The sequence below is a fragment of the Homo sapiens genome, chromosome 3, assembly GCF_000001405.40.
Source record: "Homo sapiens chromosome 3, GRCh38.p14 Primary Assembly".
Classification (NCBI taxonomy): domain Eukaryota; kingdom Metazoa; phylum Chordata; class Mammalia; order Primates; family Hominidae; genus Homo; species Homo sapiens.
In genome coordinates, this window is record NC_000003.12 from 56,762,600 (window position 1) to 56,783,452 (window position 20,853).

The 20,853-nt window shown below is 42.4% G+C and overlaps 1 protein-coding gene across 21 annotated transcripts in view, besides 1 other annotated feature; it reads right to left on the minus strand.

Moving 5' to 3' along the window:
* The window catches only part of ARHGEF3 (Rho guanine nucleotide exchange factor 3), a 351,849-nt gene that overhangs the window by 35,180 nt on the left and 295,816 nt on the right, over positions 1 to 20,853 (minus strand). For 19 of the 21 annotated variants that reach the window (NM_001377411.1, NM_001377410.1, XM_017006503.2 and 16 more), the window contains one exon: positions 11,110 to 11,217. In NM_001377411.1, the coding sequence (NP_001364340.1) occupies positions 11,110 to 11,217 (108 nt within the window). Of the gene's footprint in view, positions 1 to 11,109; positions 11,218 to 12,400; positions 13,119 to 20,853 lie in introns of those variants that run through there. The other 2 variants (NM_001377413.1, NM_001128616.2) reach the window with 1 other exon arrangement.
* Positions 353 to 1,230: an enhancer, noted in NCBI's record as "OCT4-NANOG hESC enhancer chr3:56796980-56797857 (GRCh37/hg19 assembly coordinates)". NCBI's record gives its function as "activates a minimal SCP1, AML or CMV promoter by ChIP-STARR-seq in naive H9 embryonic stem cells {active_cell/tissue: H9 hESC(naive)}" and the evidence as "EXISTENCE:reporter gene assay evidence [ECO:0000049][PMID:30033119]".

Below are 20,853 nucleotides of genomic sequence, written 5' to 3' on the forward strand. Positions count from 1 at the left end.
CTCCCTTGCCCTTTTCCAAAAACCATTTTCCACAGCCACAGATAACATGCTCCAATAAAGTATTCAAGCCAAGGAAATTCTCCACACTTACCATGCTAACCATATTGCTATTTTGTAGCAGATGGTTTATTATCAGGGATTGGAGGTTGGGGTGGGACTGTAAGAGGAAAAAACTCTCCTATGTTGCCACTGCGGTGGGTTAAACCAAAATGTACAGCAATAATGGCCAGGACAGGAAAATGTTAACCAACAGCATCCTGGAGGAGTCTCCTATGAGGCTCCATTACAGAAATTAATGTTAAGTGAGAAGTAACACTTCCCAGCTGTGTGGTCTCTGTCACATTTGACCCTCATGCTAATCCTAGGAGAGGATGAGTAATTTGAGTAGCAGAGTGGTAAGTGAGTGGCACAAGTTAAGTGTTGGAATAGGAACTGAGTGCAATTGTTTGACTCCAAAACATGGATTTGGGTGAAGAACATAGGCTTTGGAGTAAAACAGGCATGGCTTCAAGTTGATTCAATGGCTGAGAGACCTTTCATCTCTCTGGGTCTCAGTTTCCTCATCTCTAAAAGGTGCATAATAATAAGTACCTCACAAAGTTGTAGTGAGGATTGGATAAGATAAAGTACACAAGAGGCTTGGCCAAGTCCCTGGCACTCGGTCAGCAGGAATGGTAGTTACCTATCATTGTCATACCACAGACCACACTGCCACTATTAGTGCTTGTTTATACGTGCTTTCATTAATTAGCAAACAGCAGACACATCTTTCTGAACTACCTGGGCCAAATGGCTCCTAGAGGGACTTCCATTAGGATAACTCCTAGGGAAAGAAAAGCCCTCAGCAGGACACTGTTGTTTATAAAAGATCTGGAAACAGCCTAAAATGTTCTACAATAGGGATTAAACAAATTACTCTGCAACAATAAAAGGGAACCTTAAACAGTTGTTAAGAAACATTCTTTTTGAGAAAAGCTTAATGATAAGGAGAGAGCCTCACATGCAGAGTTAAGTGAGAGAAGAAAGATCCCAATTTGAAATACAACAAAATGTTAACAAGGTTTACACCCCTGGATGGTGGGACTACGGATAATTTTTGTTTTCTTTTTAAAATTTTATTTATTTTTAATTTTTTGATTTTATTTTATTTTTTTTTGTAGGGACAGGGCCTTACTATATTGCCCAGGCTAGTCTTGAACTCCTGGCCTCAAGCAATCCTCTTGTTTCAGCCTCACAAAGTGATGGAATTACAGGTGTGAGCCACTGCACCTGGCTGATTTTTATTTTCATCTTTTAATTCTCTACATTTATTTTCCAGACTTTCTTTAATGAAGAAATATTAACTAAGAAGAAACACGGTCAGTTGACGAACATGAAAGACAATGAACACTGAGTTAGAAATGGTGCAATAAACATAAAACCACATATTTACAATCTGATTCAGATTGATGCACATTAAAACCATGGTAAAAGGGCACCCAATTAATTCATAATCAATAAATGTCAAACCTCAAAGACCCAGTACAACAAGAAACCCTTCTGTAGCTTGGAGATATTCTGAGTAGAATGAATGAAAAGCTGAAGAAAATATTTGGCTTAGGTGTAGAGAAAATATTATACAATTTGCATAGTGCAAGTCCAAAATTAGGAAGGCTTCCAGAGGCTTGGGGCAGTAGCTCAACCATCTTCATTGGGCACCATAAAATGGCTTTTGCATGAGAATGTTAATGACAAGATATTCCACAAGCTGAAATGGAAATGATGACTCTCCCTGCCACAGAAGGTGAACAGCAGTGAGGTGGGATGCTCCAACTCAAAAGTCTGGTGACTATTTTTAAATCCTGCCAAACTTCAGGCTTTATTATGACCAAACTTTGACTTTTTGTGATAAGCCTACGGCAGGAGAGGCACTCTGAACACCCTACGGAATCCCAGCTCTGGCACTTACCAGCTGTGTGACCTTGGGTACAATTTTAAACTTTCAGATCTCTCCCTATAAGTGGTGATGAATCCTATCTTGCAGAGTTTTGGAGAAGACGATATGAGGCCATGAACATAAGGTACTTTGTGCAGAACCTGGTTCATCATAGATACTACACTAATGAGTGTTATTACTAAATAAAAAATGACAAGCTTTAAATTACAATAGTCAACAAATTTTTTTTTTTTTTTTTTGAGACAGAGTTTCGCTTTGTTGCCCAGGCTGGAATGAAGTGGCACGATCTCAGCTCACTGCAGCCTCCGCCTCCCGGGTTCGAGCAATTCTCGTGCCTCAGCCTCCTGAGTAGCTGGGATTACAGGCGCCTGCCACCAAGCCTAGCTGATATTTTGTATTTTAGTAGAGACGGGGTTTCACCATCTTGCCCAGACTGGTCTTGAACTCCTGAGCTCAGGCAATCCGCCTGTCTCGGCCTCCCAAAGTGCTAGGATTACAGGCATGAGCCACCGCACCCGGCCCAATATCAACTATTTACAGTGGCTTCCAGGAACAATAAACAGTAATATTCTACCACTCCAGGAATAGTAAAGAACAGCAGAGAATCAGGAGTTCCTCTTGAGATGGACTACAGATAACTTGTCAGCTATACTCTCCAAGCTTGTCCAACTTGCCTTATTTTGTTGTTGTTCTGTTTGTTTTGTTTTAGGCTTTTAGCAGCCTGAAGCCATGGTTTTTAGTTTCTGTTTCCAGTGATAAGCGGAAAAGAGGGATAAGGAAGGGGCTTTACTGGCCCAACCAGAAAGAGAAACTAAGAACCCATGATTATATCCTCTCCCTTGGATACCCATTACAAGACAGTCTGGTTTCTGGTTGCTTTCCCTAACACACATGTGCCTTCCACCCCCAAGCTCATCTCCATGTCAGCCAAATAAGTTAGTTATAGAAAATTTATGACCTTGGACCAAGGGACAAAGTTTGAGGTCCTTGGAGAAGGTAATCATGGTTGCCAGACATGGAAATCAGCACATATGCTTGGGTAATTTCTTACTTATTATTTCTTATATCTAGATGGCATCAGCCATCCCATATTCCCTTCTGAAGCCTGAAACGCTTCCTCCCTTTCATCCTTATCATCTGTGAGCCATTCCAGGCCCAACCCAAATCCCTCCACCCTTGCTAAGCAGCCTTCCTTGACGACCCCTCAGGCCATTGCTAAACTCTCTCTGTAGTATATTTTATCATAGAAGATTTTCTAATCTTATTCATTTTTATTTGGTTGCAAAGGTAATACATATTAAAAAATTCAAGTATAACAGAAATATATAATGAAAAAATCAATAGTTCCAACTCATTTATTTTCTATTCATTTGTAATTCTTACATACTGGGGAAAAAAGGAGGAGAACACAAAATAAACAAAAGAACTGCAAAAGTATAATTGTATTCCCAAGAGACAACAGAAAAAAAAAAGAATTTGACGTTCCTGGTTTTTTTTCCCTATCCATATACTAATATGGGTGTATATTATCAACTGGGACAGTGGTTTTGAACTTTCCCCCAATTTTCTTCCTCTACTTGCTAATATACCTTAGACAACTTTTATCAAGTAGAACTTTTACAATCTCTAGAGCAGGACTACCTACCTTTCTGTATTGACTCTCTCCCCATTAAGTCTAGGCAGAATAAATAACACAGTAGATCCAAATAACATTAATGGAGACCACTAATTTATCATATGTTCATGCTGCATCTGGGTTGAATAAAATAACTCCCTGATCTAAGGGCCAGAGGATGGAGCAATGAGAGGCAGTGGTTGCTAGAAACCCTTCTTTGCCATAGCAATACTTCCTGGAGGGGCTACAACTGGGGGAGGGGACACATATTCTCCTTCAGCCCAGTTGAAGAAGATGGGCAGGGCCCCATCACTGGCAGCCACTGCCAGGCTCTGCAGAGAGCTTAGGAGCAGCAATGGCTGCCTTTTCTAGTCATAACGGTGATAATAATAGCAAGTACTAATTTTTGAGCACATCCTAAGTAATGTGTAGTATTAGGCACTGTGGATACAGAGATAAGTAAGACACCACCTTGGCTTGCATGGAAAACCCAAGGGACCCCTGGGAAGAGCTATCTTGAGGGATATCACAGCAAAGAGAAAAACTGTAGCAAAAGAGAAGGAGAAATGTAAGAAGTCTAGATTTAGATGTGAAAACAGAGAAGCAATTCTATCCAAAACTGACACACATCAAGAACAGAAGCCTTGCCGTATCAACGGCCTTTAGTATTCACACCCTTTGACCAGAATTCCATTTCTAGGAGTATAATCAAAGGAAAGAAAGAAATACAGACATACACATGATCAGGATGTTGAAAGCACTGTTATCTATAATGATGAAAAAACAGAAACAAATGTTCAACAACAGGAGAGTGATTAACTCAACTGTACATTCTTTTGATGAAATGCTTTATGAGTCCATTAAGAATCAGGTCTGTGGCGAGGTGTGGTAGCTCATGCCTATAATCCCAGCACTTTGGGAGGCCAGGGTGGTAGGACTGCTTGAGGCCAGGAGTTTGAGACCAGTCTGGGCAACATAGGGAGATTTTTGTCTCTATTAAAAAAAAAAAAAAATCAAGTCTTTGAAAACTACTTAACGACATGAAAAATACTCTTCTATTGTAGAGTTATTTTATACCGTTAAGACCAAAGGGAGTAAAAAAATAGCATATACAGTGTGATAGTCATTTTGTTTTAAAAAATGCACATGCGGCCGGGCGCGGTGGCTCACGCCTGTAATCCCAGCACTTTGGGAGGCTGAGGCGGGCAGATCATGAGGTCAGGAGATTGAGGCCATCCTGGCTAACATGGTGAAACCCCGTCTCTACTAAAAAATATTAAAAAATTAGCCGGGCGTGGTGGCGGGCGCCTATAGTCCCAGCTACTGGGGAGGCCGAGACAGGAGAATGGCTTGAACCCGGGAGGCAGAGCTTGCAGTGAGCTGAGATTGCGCCACTGCACTCCAGCCTGGGCAACAAAGCGAGACTCCGTCTCAAAAAAAAAAAAAAAAAAAAAAAATGCACATGCAAGTATAGTAAAAGGTAAGATTGCCTGAGTATGTACCAAAATATTAATGGAAGTTTTTTGGTGATGGGAAGTAGGATTACAAGTGACTTTTATTCTCTTTTATGTGCTTCACTATATTTTTCAGTATTTATTTATTTATTTATTTATTTTGAGACAGTCTCACTCTGTTGCCTAGGCTGGAGTGCAGTGGCATGATCTCAGCTCACTGCAACCTCCACCTCCTGGGTTCAAGTGATCCTCCCACCTCAGCCTCCCAAGTAGCTGGGACAACAGGTATGCACCACTACGCCCAGCTAATTTTCGTGTTTTTTGGTAGAGACGGGGTTTCACCATGTTGGCCAGGCTGGTCTCAAACTCCTGACCTCAAGCGATCCACCTGCCCCGGCTTCCCAAAGTGCTGGGATTACATGCGTGAGCCACCATGCCCAGCCCCAGCCTCAATATATATATATATTTTTGAGACATAGTCTCAGTCTGTCACCCAGGCTGGAGTACAGTGGCGCAATCTCTGCTCGCTGTGACCTCTGCCTTCTGGGTTCAAGCAATTCTGCCTGCCTCAGCCTCCAGAGTAGCTAGGATTACAGGCGTGTGCCACCACGCCCGGCTAATTTTTTGTATTTTTAGTAGAGACAGGGTTTCGCCATGTTGGCCAGGTTGGTCTCGAACTCCTGACCTCTGGTGATCCACCCGCTTCAGCCTCTCAAAGTGCTGAGATTACAGGTGTGAGCCACTACACCCGGCCTCAATATTTAAATGATGTTATATTATCAGAAAACAAAGCACAATAGAAGGTAATTTAAAAAAAAAAGGACAAATGCATTAAAAAGATTCAACATAGAGTTATTTAATATAAAAATATTCACAGCCTAAATATGTGTTAATAGGAGACTGGTTATGTAGAATAATATATACTCAGCCCATAAAGATAATATTTTCCAAGAATAACTGTGACATAATACTCCCCCCTAAGCTAGATAAAAACTCCTTGCCCAGCCAAATAACAAAGGGAGGAGGAAAATAGAGATGGAATAAAACACATTAAGCAAAATGCAAAAAAAAAAAAAAAAGAAGAAGATGACGACAAAATCCAAGGCAAAAAGCGTTAAAGGAAATAAACAGGAATATTTAATCCTAATAAAAGGTGCAACTCCCCCAGGAGGCTGTAATGGTGACAAATATGAACATTTGTGCACCTAACTGCATAGCTTGGAAATGTGTGAGGCTGAGACTGACAGAGATGCAAGAGAAACTGATCATCCACAGTCACTGTGGGAGGCTTTAACCTAAAAGTGAGCAGATCACCCAGACAGAGATAAGGCTGAATAGACTGTGAGGAACCCAAAACTAGGCTCAGAGTACGTGAGCTCTGCACCTATGCCTAGAATAGTGCTAGAGGGAAACTGGTAAACTATTAATGGATTGTTTTGGAGTTGGAAGACTATACATGTTCTTTTTCTCTTTCTCCTTTTCTGCATTTTTCCATAATGAACATTCACTTTTATAATGGAAAAGGAAAAAGTGCAAGTCCAAAGAGAATGAGGGGCTACATCACAACATCATGAACACAACATTCCATAGCATGTGCTGAACTCAGCTCAAATGAGTCCAGTAGCCGTGAACAGCTGTGGACAGGGAGAGGCAGGGCTCAGGGAGCGACTGGCCAAAGGCGAGCTCGCCTTCCTCACTCCACACCAGAGGAGCGCATGAGGTCCCCTTTCAGAGCTGGGCCAGATTTTCCTCTCAGGCAGGCCAGGGAGGGAATTTATAGGCTCAGAGGGATCCAGACATCTGTGCTTGAGTCTACCGGCAGTGCTAACCTTCCTGGTGAGAAGCAGATAGAGAGCCATGCAGTCAGGCTGTCCCTCCCCAGCGTCCACAAATGCTGCCTTTGTGTTGGGGTGCAAGCCCCCAGCCCATATGGGCACAGGAAGCAAGAGAGAACAAATCCTGCAGTGTCTTGCTGAACTGTGGCTGCAAGGACCACTCACATGTGTGACTGGGCTTTTAACATTTTTGGAAGTGGCTGCCAGCCCAGAGCTCTCCTGATATCCTCCTGGGCTAACTTGTGGTCTCCTGAGGAACCAGAGGAAGGTCTGCTAAGTGTTCCAGCACTGATTAGAGCACCTTATTTGGGCTTAAGTCATCTCTTCTATAATTAAAAGAATCCAACCTGAGAGACATAATTGAATATCCAAAGGAATATATATGTCTCTAAGGTGTCAGAAGCCAGGGAAAAGGAATACTGCAACAGAGAACCAAGCTGCTCAATTACAGCCTTGAGTCATTTTTGGAATAGAAAAGGCATAAATAATACACACATATGGGTAATGGATGGCTGCTGAGAGGTTTGGGGCAGCTGATACACTCTTTGTTCTCTGTTTCTCCCTTATTGGAAAGGGAACCAAGACTTAGACAAAATCGGAGAGGATGTGAAGTGAGCCCACTGAGCACCCCTTTGGGGCCAGCTCTTCCCCCTCATCCTTACTGCTCCCAGGCCACATTAAATTAGCATCCAGCCAGGTGCAGTGGCTCATGTCTGTAATCCCAGCACTTTGGGAGGCTGAGCTGGCGGATTACCTAAGGTCAGGAGTCTGAGACCAGCCTGGCCAACATGGCGAAACCGTCTCTACTAAAAACACAAAAATTAGCCAGGTGTGATGGTGGGCACCTGTAATCCCAGCTACTCGGGAGGCTGAGGCAGGAGAATCACTTGAACCCAGGAGGCGCAGGTGGAGGTGAGCCACGATCACGCCACTGCACTCCAGCCTGGGTGACAGAGCAAGACTCTGTCTCGAAAATTAAATTAAATTAAATTAAATTAAATTAAATTAAAATAAAATGAAATAAAATAAAATATAAATTGGCACCTTCTCTCAGTCTAGCTGGTGAGGGAAACTATTATTGAGATGCTAGGGCTGGAAATAATGCCATAGAAGTTGCACCGTGTGCACCAAGGTGAGTTACAAGAAGACATGTGGGGACAAGCTGGCATTCTCCATGCTTTGCAGATCATTCTGCAAACATGGCTGCTAACTCTGCATACAACTTGAGGGGTGTATTTCCATTCACTGTCCCCCCAAGGACACTCTCAAACATAAGCACATCGCTCAATTCTCTCCATATCTATGTACATTACCATTGTGAATAACTCTTCTGTTTCTGCTGGGTTGTTTCTGGCCAATATATAAAGCTTAGAGTAAGCTATTTATCACAATATTTGAAAAAATTAACTTAAAAACTTATTTTGCACTTTGGGAGGCCGAGGCAGGTGGATCACTTTAGGTCAGGAGTTTGAGACCAGTCTGGCCAACATGGAGAAACACCATCTCTACTAAAAATACAAAAAATTAGCCAGGCGTGGTGGTGGGTGACTGTAATCCCAGCTATTTGAGAGGCTGAGGCAGGAGAATCGCTTGAACCCGAGAGGTGGAGGTTGCGGTGAGCTGAGATCGCGCCACTGCACTCCAGCCCAGGCAACAAGGGTGAAACTCCATCTCAAAAAAAAAAAAAAATTATTTTGCCAAAAAAATCTTTGAGGTTTTAAAAACCAATTTCCACATGTCAGATCCTCCTTTGGGTCTGGCTTTCTCATCCTTGCTTGGCCTCAGTCTGCTGGATTTCAGACATGGCTTGATTTCTTTCTGTTCTAGTTCTCTAGGTCAATGTAAATTTCTGAGGTGAGCAAATGTTTCCTGCACTGTTACCTGTGAAGGAACCCCAGAAACAGAAGAAAGAAATTTTGCCTGAGAAGCCAAAAGAAAGATTTTGAAGGTATGGTAACAGATCTTAAAGCAGCCAGGGCTGGGCTGTAGTGGGAGGCACAGATTGTGCTCTTCCTAGGCCCAGGAGCACAAACACAAAAAGCCTACCAACTAGGCAAGGCAATGACAGAGAGTAAAGGGCCAGGTGTTAGAAGGGCAATTGGGAGAGGTGGGGACATTTGTAGGTGATGGTTGGCTGGCTGCCTAGGTCTAGCTCATTACTGCCATGTGGGAACACAGCACTGCAGCAAACCTACCAAAAGGCAATTCTGTTATATCTGGAACATAGCAATATGAGGGCAAGAAGAGCCTAATGCCTGATGAGGATTCACTCAACACTGACTGAATGAATGAGGGCCTTCCTGGGCAGAGGGTGGACTGTCCTGGGAGCAATAATGGGAAGAGATGGCTGGTAATTTGGAGGTCTGACAATCAAGGAAGGAAATAATTGCAGAGTGAACTTGAGCCACAGCCACTGGGATGGAGAGGAAAGGGTGAAATGCAGTAGACATTCTGAAGAATTTTCAAAAAGCAGTAACTCAGTGAGAGACCAGATGTGCGGGACTAGGGCAGTGATGAATCTTCCAGGGGATGCCTGCGATGAACTTGTCGAGAGGGCTGAAGAACTGGTCACAAGGGAGAAAAGGTAAACACATTCTTCTTCACTAGTTTCAAAGCCCTTCATCTTGCTCTCCCAGATGACCTTATTTTCTCTTTCCTCCATTCTCCCACAAAAGGGATCAGGGTATTAACCAGGGATCCAGCGGCCCAAGTGCTGAGAGAAACAGACCCAAACCTATAGCTAATTACGTGAGGTATTCATTCAGGAGAAACTGCAACAGAGTTAACAGAGGAACGGGCAGGGCAGGGGAAAAGCAATGGAGAGGAAGGGCATCTATGGGAAAGTAGCAAGAACCACTTGGGCTATGTGGAGTCATGACATATTGGCTGTATGGTAGGCAGGCAAGGACAGAAAGGGCTGAGGGAGAACCTCAAACAGTTCTCAAGTCATGGATTTTCACAGCATGAGGCATGCCTTGGGTTCTGGTCCCCAGTTTTCTTAAAGACTCAGAAAGCAGAGATACAAAATATTGCCAAGCAAAAGCATTCAGGACAAATACATGGCAGACTCAAGACTGCTGCTCAGCTAAACCAGGTGAGCCTTTTCATGGCATATTTTTTGTGGGCTTCAATCTAAAAGAAAATTTGTATAATTATCAAATTGGTCCAAGGGCTTGGATAAATCTCAACGTTCACTTTAAAAGATACACTTCATCAACAGTTTAAGAACAACTATAACTACTTGTTAACTAAAAAACTATCATAGTAGCTAATATTTACTACTTAGTTAACGAATTTGAAGATTAATGATTGCTAACTAAGGGCCAAGGTGTTATGCTATGCCCTTTAAATGCACTGTCTTGTAAATCTTTACAATGATTCCATGAACGTTTGGTGGCATCATGGCAAATTTACTGATATGGAATAGAAGCAAGACCTATCTGTAGGATGAAGTATGGAAAAAACATTTTTTTAATAAAAAATAAAAGCAAGACCTAGAGATGTTAAGTCACCTGCCCAAGGTGAGCCGAGGTTAGAACCCAAGGTACTTCCACTCCGAGGTCCTTAGGTCCTCATTCTAAGCCAAGGGTCAGCAAACATTTTATGTAAAGGGCCAGATGGTAAATATTTTTGGCTTTGTGGGCAATATGGTCTCTGTCACAACTACTCAATTATGCCATAGTACAAAGCAGCCATGGACAATAAACAGATGGGCATGGCTATGTTCCAACAAAACTTTATTTATGGATACTGAAATTTGAATTTCATGTCGTTTTCATGTGTCACGAAACAGCACCATTCTTTTGACTTTCCCCCAAGAATTTTAAAAAGTAAAAATCAGGCTTAGCTTGTGAGCCATAAAAAAACAGGTGGTGAACTGGATTTTCTCCACCCAATGCAGTTTGCCGACCCTGGTTGAAGCTACTAGGCTCTGTTGCCCTCCAGCTAACATCATGTGCTGGTTTCCTCAGGAGGCCCATAGATATTTTAGGAAAAAAATCGCGTGAGAGTATGTCTGGATGGGGCACATAACTCTGAAATACAATTGTGGGGAAAGGCCCAACCACAACAGCTCTGGCTCTGCATGACCCTTGACTGCAACTTGAAAAACATCTTTCTTCCTCCAAGTCCCCTCACTTGCACTCTTCTATTGAAATAAGCATTGATTCAGGTCACTTTGAAACCAGGGGAAATTCTAGGTAGGATGGGGATGTTCCTTCCCGTACACCATGATTTTCTGCAACCACAGGCCCTGTGTGCCCTTCTTACCTGCAGGGTTTGACTGAAGCGCTTTAATGGCGTGGCCTTCACGGGCGGGATGAGGTTTGCTAGCGACGTGACTCGGGAAAGGGGTTTGACCCGTTTATTACTAGGCTCCTATAGAGTTAAAAAAAAAAAAAAGTAAAATGTCAAGGTCAATTGCAAAGACAACATAACTCCATCATACAACTGTGTTCCACTCCACAAGGTACTGGTTGTACACTGATCTATGGAATATAAAGTGTCACGTCTCACTCTGGCTGTATGGAGATGACCTGGCTTAGGAGGCAGGGAAGGAGAAATGGCAGGCAGGGGATGTCAACAGAGGCAGTATCTGGGAAGACAGAAAAGGGGCAGGGATCTGCTCCTTATCCCTCACCCCCAGCATCTGCCAGCTTTTAATTCAGAAGCTTCCACTTAGTAGAACCAGTCTCCCCACCCCTTCTGTAGAGAAAAGCAGTGTCTGATTTCTCACCCAATGACCTTGTCTTTTGTTGCTTCTGGTTTCATCTCTTTAAAAACCTTTTCCCCATCTTGCCTAAAGCCACTCTTATGCAATGGCTTTCCTAAAGCACCAAGATTGTTTTCTTACTTCATTAAATTAAAAAAAAAAAATTTAAAAAAGAAGTTCTATTACTGGGCTCTTAAGAAAGCATCTTTGTATCTACAGCATATTTGAAATGCACATATTAATATTTATAAATTATAACCAGACGGCAAAAGAAAATGTATAGAGAAAAAGCCCTACCACGGACATCGGTTTCTATACTATATATAGCCACAAGTTTTGAAAATCACCTCCACATAAAACATTAGTTGCAAATCTGCAAGTTACTTCAAACCAGGCTGATAGGTGGGAGGGCGCCTACCCATTCCAAGGACTTTGCAGACAAGAATTACATAAATAAAAATAACAGCCTGGCCAGGCGCAGTGGCTCATGCCTGTAATCAAAGCACTTTGGGAGGGCGAAGTGGGTGGATCACGAGGTCAGGAGTTCAAGACCAGCCTGGCCAAGATGGTGAAACTACATCTCTACTAAAATACAAAAATTAGCTGGGCGTGGTGGCAGGTGCCTGTAATCCCAGCTACTCGGGAGGCGTGGGATTGCTTGAACCTGGGAGGTGGAGGTTCCAGTGAGCCGAGATTGCGCCACTGCACTCCAGCCTGGTTGACAGAGACTCTGTGTCAAAAAAACAAAAAACAAACAAACAAACAACAACAACAACAAAAAAAAAACAGGCTATGGGGAAGAGAATGATGATAGACAAAACATTTTACAAAGACAAAGAGAAGAGTTACCCTTGTCCTCCTAAGCTCCATCTGACCTGTAGTAGATGCTAGACAGCACATGAAGATACCAAATTTTGATGGGCAAAGCCAAAGTAGCCAATTGTGGTGGCAAACCTCAATCATTTCCAGAGGGAGCCTCTAGGTATTCATCTTTCCTTTTCAGCCATTGCTTTCAAAGTTTCGAGGGTTAAGGCAGAACTTCAGATTCTCCAGGATATTTCTGCATCCCCGTTCTGAACATAGTAGGTGCCTGGAAAAATCTTTCGTGAATTTGGAATCCTGCTGAGACACTCTCATGTCATTTTATGCCCCTGCCAGTCTCAGAAATCAACAGCCTTCTTTGAAATAGACTGTCTCCAAGCTTTCCAGCATTTGCATATAAAAATTTAAAAACTTAAAAAGAAAATTCAATACAATCTCACAATGTGGCCAGAAACGATTCCATGATTTCTCAAAGCAGTTAAATACTTTTCCAAGACGGAGAATGCAACCAGGCTGCTGGGTACCTCTCCAGCTTCTTAGCGTGCTAAGCTGAACAGACAGCAGAAAACTCTCAGAACACTAGGAAGGCTCAGTTCCAAAATGCAGAGGATGAATCTCCCAAGATGAAAGCCATTGCGTGACAATGATTTAAGTGCTGAAGGGAAAGATCTGACAGCTCTTCTGCTTCAGGTGACAATGCCCTTCAGGATGCTCCCTGTCCAGTGCCAGGCTCTTGAGCATTTGTGCTCAGAGGAGGGTTTAAAACATTTTTTTACGTCAGAGCTGCACCACTAGCGTACTGAATACACACACACACACACGCGCAAGCACACACACACACACACACACTGCCTCTTAAGCATCCCCTGAATTTGTCTAAATGGCTCCTGCTTTGGGCTGAAAATGCCAGGTTGGTGGCACAAACTGCATTACAGCAAGTGAGGTGACAAAGATTCCCTGAGGGAGCAGGACCTGGTCTCAGAGAATCCTGCCCGCTGACTCTGAGTCTTTCTCTTTCTCTCTCTCTTTTTTATGGTTAAAGCTGCTGGGTCACAGATTTTTATATCAGAATGGGGAAGCTGAAAGGCAAACGCCAACTGGGTTCCCTTGTTTTAAAAAGGGGCCAGAGAGCACTGCACGCTTGACAGGACGGGGGATGATCCAGCTGTGTTCCACTTGCTGTGTCATCTTTTCTAAGGTTCTGCTGACTTTGCTGTCCATTTTGCATGACCCAGTCGGACAGGCATTTTCTGCACAGCTATAAGATGTAGGTTCAACACAAATCCCAGCCTCTCTGAAGGTTGAGTGCAGTGCTGCTACGTGAGATTGTAATTAAAACTGATTTCCTAAGGCATTGCCGATTTGGATGTAAACATCAGGCTGCTCTCTGGCAATCTGACATTCCCAAGTAATGAACAATTGAACCAGAAGCCGTTGCTGTGTGATTTAGTGCTATGATCCAGCAATGTAAGCAGGTGCAATTTCAAAACCAGAACACTTACAGGTTATTGGATCTATGGGGGAGGCTTTATGCCTAACCCACATGAGTAAAATATGAATTATGGTGTTCTCCTTGAGGCCTTCTGTGAGAATAGAAGATTAAAAAAATTCCTGGCCTCATTAGATTTTTCTTTTCCATTTACTCAATATGTCTCCAGCTACATTTTACTGCTGTCTAAAGAGAGCCCTCAGGGAAAATGTTTCCAGATTCTTGTTAAATAGCTCTACTGAGAACTAGCAAATGCAATCGTAGGGATGCTTTCAGGCTTTACAGAGAGGTAACAGAACACAACCTGCAGGGACGCTTCCTAGTCCAACAACTCAGCTGCCAGACCAAGCTGGGCAAGGTCAATGCTAAACCCAGGAACCAAGTGTCCTGTTTCAAGTGCAGACACCACCCCCCACCACGTGATTTTAAGATAGGGCAGAAGGGTATCTCACTAAAGTTTAAAAAAAAGAAAAGAAAAAAAGACACTGAGCATTCTGTATAGACAGTATTTTGTGAATAACAGTTTGTTTCATCTTTTCCAGGCCTTATAACATTTTTGTTTCTCTTGTCTTATTGCACTGGCTAGAACCACCTGTATATTGTTGATTACAAGCCAAGACAGTGGGTATACTAGTTTAATTCTTGGTTCTACAGTGATTATTAATAAGATTTCATCATTAAATATTTGCTGAGAGCATGGGAGAGGCACCCTTTAACACGCAGAGAAAGTTCTTTTCTGTACCAACTTTGCTGTGAATTTTTATCATGAATTGGCAGTGGCTTTTATCAAATGTTTGTTCTTCATTTAGTCAGAGGACAAGGAAAGAAAAAAAGGAAGAGAAGAAAAGAAGCGACGGGTGGGAAGAAGGAAAGGAGAGAATAAAGGCATACAGGTCATATTTTTTCATAAAGAAACTGATTTGACAATTTAAAATATCTTGTGTTTAATTATGAACAAAGGAGAATAAAACACTATGCAATTTTATTCTTAGTATGAGTTTTTTTATTAAATGGATTTTGATATTCCTTCTCTAGGGGATACAATGATTTTTATCCTCTCCTCATTCTTCCCCTCAACAGGTAAAAGCCAAAGCAGACTATATGCAATGTAAGAAAATGCCTATCGTACCAATATAATCTAGCATACTTTTTTATTCCTCCAAAAATAGTTCCATTGAAACAGACTGGCATACAGGAACTCCCCACTCATTTTCCCTGCACTTCCTTTTTGCAGCCAGAGTGGGGTGAGGAATAGTAGGAATATCATCTATGTCATGTCTGCAGCTGCCCTGAGACTCTACCCCTATTGAGCCTCAAACACCACCCAGGAGAGGCTGGAAATGTAGCCACTGGCATAAGGACTCAGGCTGCTGCATTGCAGGGCAGTGTGGCTCTCAGCTGCTTTACATCTGGCCAGGAGCAAGGAAGAGGTGAGAATTGATTGTGCTAGCAGATACTCTTACCCATGAGTTGATGGAGCCAAATAAAAAAAGTCTTTCAAATGTTTGGAAATTCCAGGAAAGCCTTTTCAGGGTTCTATCTGTGTGCCAGGTGGTGTGTGGAAACTGTACTCCCAAGGGTCATGTTTAATCCACCCAGGAACCTTCTAGGTGGCTTTCATTGTCCTCATGTTAAATAGGAAGTTACAATCTTACAGTGACTGAGAAACTCTAGCATAAACAAATAATAATAATGAGCTAATACTGGTAGCAGGAACTCAGCTCAGTGCTTTACATATAGTTGCATATTTATTCCTACTAACAACCTCACAAGGTAACTACTACTACAATCCCTATTTTAAAGATGGAGAAACTAAGGCACGTAGTGAGCAATTTGCTTAAAGCCATTCAGCTAAAACAAGGTGACCAGGATGTAAACCCAGTCAGGCTGACTCCAGAGCCCATGCCCTACCCCAGGGCCTGGCTAACTTTTTCTGTAAGGGGCTACCCAGCCTCTGTCATGACTACTCATCTCTGCTTTCGGACACAAACAATCTGTAAATAAATAAGTGTGGCTATATCATATTAAACATTTATTTATGAACACTAAAATTCAAATTTCATAGTTTTCATGTCACAAAATATTCTTTGAGACAGGGTCTTGCTCTGTCACTCAGGCTGCTGTGCAGTGGCACGATCACGACTCACGGCAGCCTCAACCTCCTGGGCTCAAGCAGATCTTCCCACCTCAGCCTCTCAAGAAACTGGGACTACAGGTGCTCACCACCATGCCTGGCTAAATTTTAAAAATTTTTTTAGAGAAGGGGTCTTGCCATGTTTCCCAGACTGGTCTCAAATTCCTGGGGTCAAGCAATTCTCCCGCCTCGGCTTCCCAAAGTGCTGGGGATTACAGGGTTGAGCCACTATGCCCCGCTTACAAAATATTATTCTTTTGAAATTTTTCAATCATTATAACATGTAGACATTATTCTTAGCTTGAGGCCCATAGGAAGTCAGCTGTATTCGGTCTTCAGGCCATAGTTTGCTGACTGTTGTTTGCTGACCAGTCATGTCCTGGTCAGTGGTCCTCAGCCTCAGCTTTTTTACTGTAACATACCCAAGGACAACACTCCCAGGCACTGCACTCTCCCACAGGCACACCTAGTCATCGTCAGGCTCCAGTAGATGGCATAAGCTTGATTTGCATATTCTCCCTGCAGCTGGACATGCAGGGTCCTCCCCTGATAAACAGGGGAAACATTTGACTTACTTTTTATGTGAGTAAACCCTATTTTATTGCATTTTATTCTCTTAACTTTCTAAACACAATGCCAACTTTCCTTGACCATTTTAATATATATATATGAACAAAGGACATAAAAAGTGATATAATGCCTGGGATCTACTTCAAAATAATGACAGTGGAGAAAGTGGATGGAAAAAGAGGAAAACAGGACTGGTCACAGGTTGGTAGTTGTCAAAGCTAGGTGCAGGGCACAGGTACGTGACAAAATACATGTCAAATGGTACATGTATTTGGTACATGCCTGCCTATGGTGCATGTCAAAATAAAAAGTTTTTTTTTATTTTTTTTTTTTGTTTGTTTTTTTGAGACGGAGTCTCGCTCTGTCGCGCAGGCTGGAGTGCAGTGGCGCCATCTTGGCTCACTGCAAGCTCCGCCTCCCGGGTTCACGCCATGGACAATTCTTTAATTCCTGCTTCTGCCTCTTCCCAGCTATAAGCTTTACTTCAAATGGCCCCACTCCACCCAGCATGGGGGCACTTGACAGCTTGCTTTGTACCTTTTCTTTCAACGAATTCCTACAGATTTTCCCTCTTGTGTTAATGTTTTTCTAACAAAATGGTTGAGAATGAGCCATATTTTTATAGATTTATCTATTTTAGTCTGGCTCTCATATTCACTAATCTTGTCTTAAGCAAGTTACTTACTCAGTTTCTTCAACTGAAAAATGGGGAAATAACCTCGTAATACAGCAGTGAGAATTCTGTGGGTAGGAGCTATGCTTTACAGGGAACTTACAATCTGTGCAGGTGCTGGGCGAAGAGCTTTATAAGGATTTGCTCTTGGCATCTTCAGAACATCTTATGAGAAAGCTAGTATCATTATCCCCATTTTATAAGTGAGCAAGCCAAGGTTTAAGGAGCACAAATACACAAGATCACGTATTTCAGGTAGAGGCAAAATGTGGACCATGTACTGGACTATACACCTCTGCTTCATTATTCTGCCCAAAAACAGACAGATAATGACGATGAGCACATAGCACAGTACTTTGTGAATAGCAAGATAATTATCAGAGCCTAGAATAGGGCTCACAAATTGGTATGTTTTTGCTAAAGATTATTCCCCCTGCCATCTTTGCCTCTAAGAACAGGTGAGCTTATCTATTCCCTTAATATGAGCATACTCTTTTTCAAAACATTGATTTTGAAATAATCTTAGATTTACAGAAGAGTTGCAAAATTAGTAGAGTGTTCCCATACATCCTTTACACCACTACCTCTATGTTAACATTTTACATAACCACAGTACATTTATCAAAACTAAGAAATTAACATTGGGGCAATACTATTAACTAAACTATTAACAGAGTTATTGGGATTCCACCAGTTTCTGTTTTCCCACTAGTGTCCTTTTTCTGTTCCAGGATCTAATCTAGAATCCAAAGTTATATTTCTGTCCCATCTGTGATATAGTTCCTCTGTCTTGTTGTCTTTCATGATCTTATAGCAAAATACTAGAGCTCTCTAATTGACACTTGTGAAGAGTACTGGTTGGTTATTTTATAGAATGTCTCTCACTTTAGATTAATCTTACGTTCTCTCACGATTAAGTTCAGGTTATGCATTTTTGGCAAGAAAAAACACAAAGATGTATCCTTCCTGGTATATCATATAGGTGGTACACCATGTTGCTAAGTCTTATTACTGGTGATGTTAACTTTGACTACGTAGTTAAGATGGTCTTATGGATTGAATTATGCCCCCACTGAAAGATAAGTGTAAGTTCTTACTCCAGATACCTGTGAATGTGACCTTATTTGGAAATAGGATCTTTGTAGATAAAATCAAGTTAAGAAGAGTCACACTAGTTTAGAGTAGGCCCTAAATCTAATCACTGGTGTCCTTATAAGAAGAGGGAAATTTAGAGACACACATGGAGAAGATGGCCATGTGACAAGAGAGAGGTGGAGACTGGAGTGATGTATCTACAAGCCAAAGAACATGAAGGATTGCCAGCAAACACCAGGAACTTGGAAGAAGAAAGGATTCCTCTGCAGGTTTCAGAGGGAGCATGGCTCTGCTGACATTTTCTTTTGTCTTTTTTTTTTTTTTCTTTTTTTGAGACAGAGTCTCGTTCTGTCACTGGGACTAGAGTGCAGTGGCACAATCTCAGCTCACCGCAACCTCCACCTCTGGGTTCAAGCGATTCTCCTGCCTCAGCCTCCCGAGTAGCTGGGACTACAGGAGTACACCACCATACCCGGCTAATTTTTGTATTTTTAGTAAAGACAGGGTTTCACCATGTTGGCCAGGCTGGTCTCAACTCCTGACCTCAGGTGATCCACCTGCCTTGGCCTGCCAAAGTGCTGGGATTACAGGTGTGAGCCACCACACCCGGCCTCTGCTGACATTTTCATTTCAGACTTAGCCTCCAGAATAAGACAAACATTTTTTGTTGTTTTAAGCCACCTAGCTTATGGTACTTTGTTATAGCAGTCATAAGAAACTAACACAGGTGGTGTCTGCTGGATTTCTCCACTGTAAAGTTAATATTATTCTCTTTGTAACTAACACATAGTTTGGAGGACTTTGTGACTTTGTGCATTCTTCTTAGCCCAATTTAGGGAGTGTTTACTCAGTATGTGCAAAGTGGCCTTAATTGAAGTATACAGGTGTCACTGTTGTGGGGAATGTCTCCCAGCTGAATAGGGAGAATCAGAAGGTTGAGCCACAAAGAGTCAAGAGAGTCAGTGTCAGGTGGAGCTGGCAAGGAAGGAGCAGGTGGGGTGGCTGGAAGGCAGGGCATGGTGCGGTGGACAACACAGGAACGTAGGGCACATATGCAGCACTGAGGAGGCCTTCATAGAGCTGCCTGAGCAAAGGAGGAGTAAGACTGTGGGTACAGAAAGGGGAGCTGCCTTGGAGCTTGCAAATGACTCTTCATCTTATTTTTTTGGAAATAGAAAAAGATAATAATAATGAAATAATTGTTCCTAATTCTAAAATTTCCATTGAAATATTTTTTCTGTTCTTTTTTTCCCCTGGCACAGAGCTAACTGACCTGGTGTCATCTGTTCCCAGAAGATGAAAGACAAATAATGAGGCCCAAATCCCAACGGAAACCTGACTTCATTGATTAGGCCAAATGTGTTTCAGAATTATTGGTTTTTAACCCCCAAGGTGAGAAAAGGTCTTCAAACTCAGAACTATAATTTTCCTCTTGTATGCTTATCAGTGATTTCAACAAAGGGACTGCAAGCTTTGTGGACTTTGACAAACCACCAGGAACTGTTCCGGGAGGCATCCCTGCTATCTTTGTCTTGGCTAATCTCAAACATGGAAGCCACATTCTTGTGTTTGTTTTCTCCGGCCGTGAGTTTGGTTGCCAGTTGCCTCACATTAGGCATCCAAGGGGGATTTGATTTCCTTTTTGATAAAATGGCTCAACTCTTTCCTCCATATTAAGATAAGGTGCTATGAGGAAAAGATCCCAATTTCCTTCTTAAAAAAAAAAAAAAAGCTGGGGTTTGTTTTGTTTTTGTTAATGAGGGAACAGGGACAGCCTGGATAACTAAAATCCACAAAACACCCTGAGTTAGTTCAGTCTCAAACCCAAGCTGCAGACAGGCTTTCGGGCTGCTGGATTGAGACTCCAACAATCTCTTGCCCCGTCTCATGGAAGTGCTAAAGAGCAGATGATGAGAGAAGTCGCAAGAGAGTCTGGGCAAACCCACAAATTAAACCATCAACTCTCAGGTACATAAAACTGAACATATTAATGTTAGAGGGATGACGTTTATTCTCTGTATATCAAGCTCTGTCTGCCTGAGCCAGTCAGCACCAAAAGCAGATTCAGCACCTATGGCTTCTTGGCCAAAGTCTCCCTGTGAGGTGGTTGCTTTCGGGGGAGCCTTGAATAAGGGAGAGGTATAAGGAGGACAGTTGGCAGTTGGCTGAGCTCACACAATGCTGGCAGGAGCCTCTGAAACCATGCTCAGAGGCCCTGCCCAAACCAGCTTCCTATAAAACACAAATTAAAAAAACAGGGGTAGAAAGAAATCACACTTTATGACAATTTCTGTAGTCCTCCTAGCTTCATTTCCTCCTGGCCTCCCCTGTTTCCTTCAAGTCCAAAACACATGGTAGCAAAATACTATAGCTCTCTAGTGTTTGTAATAAACTGCATGGCAAAATGAAGGAAAGGTGGGGGTAGGCGGCAAGCGAGATGGATTTCTTCCGGTACACCCGGGAGAAGCAATTAATTTTACTACAAATTTGGAGAGGGTGAATGTTCATGGCATACCATT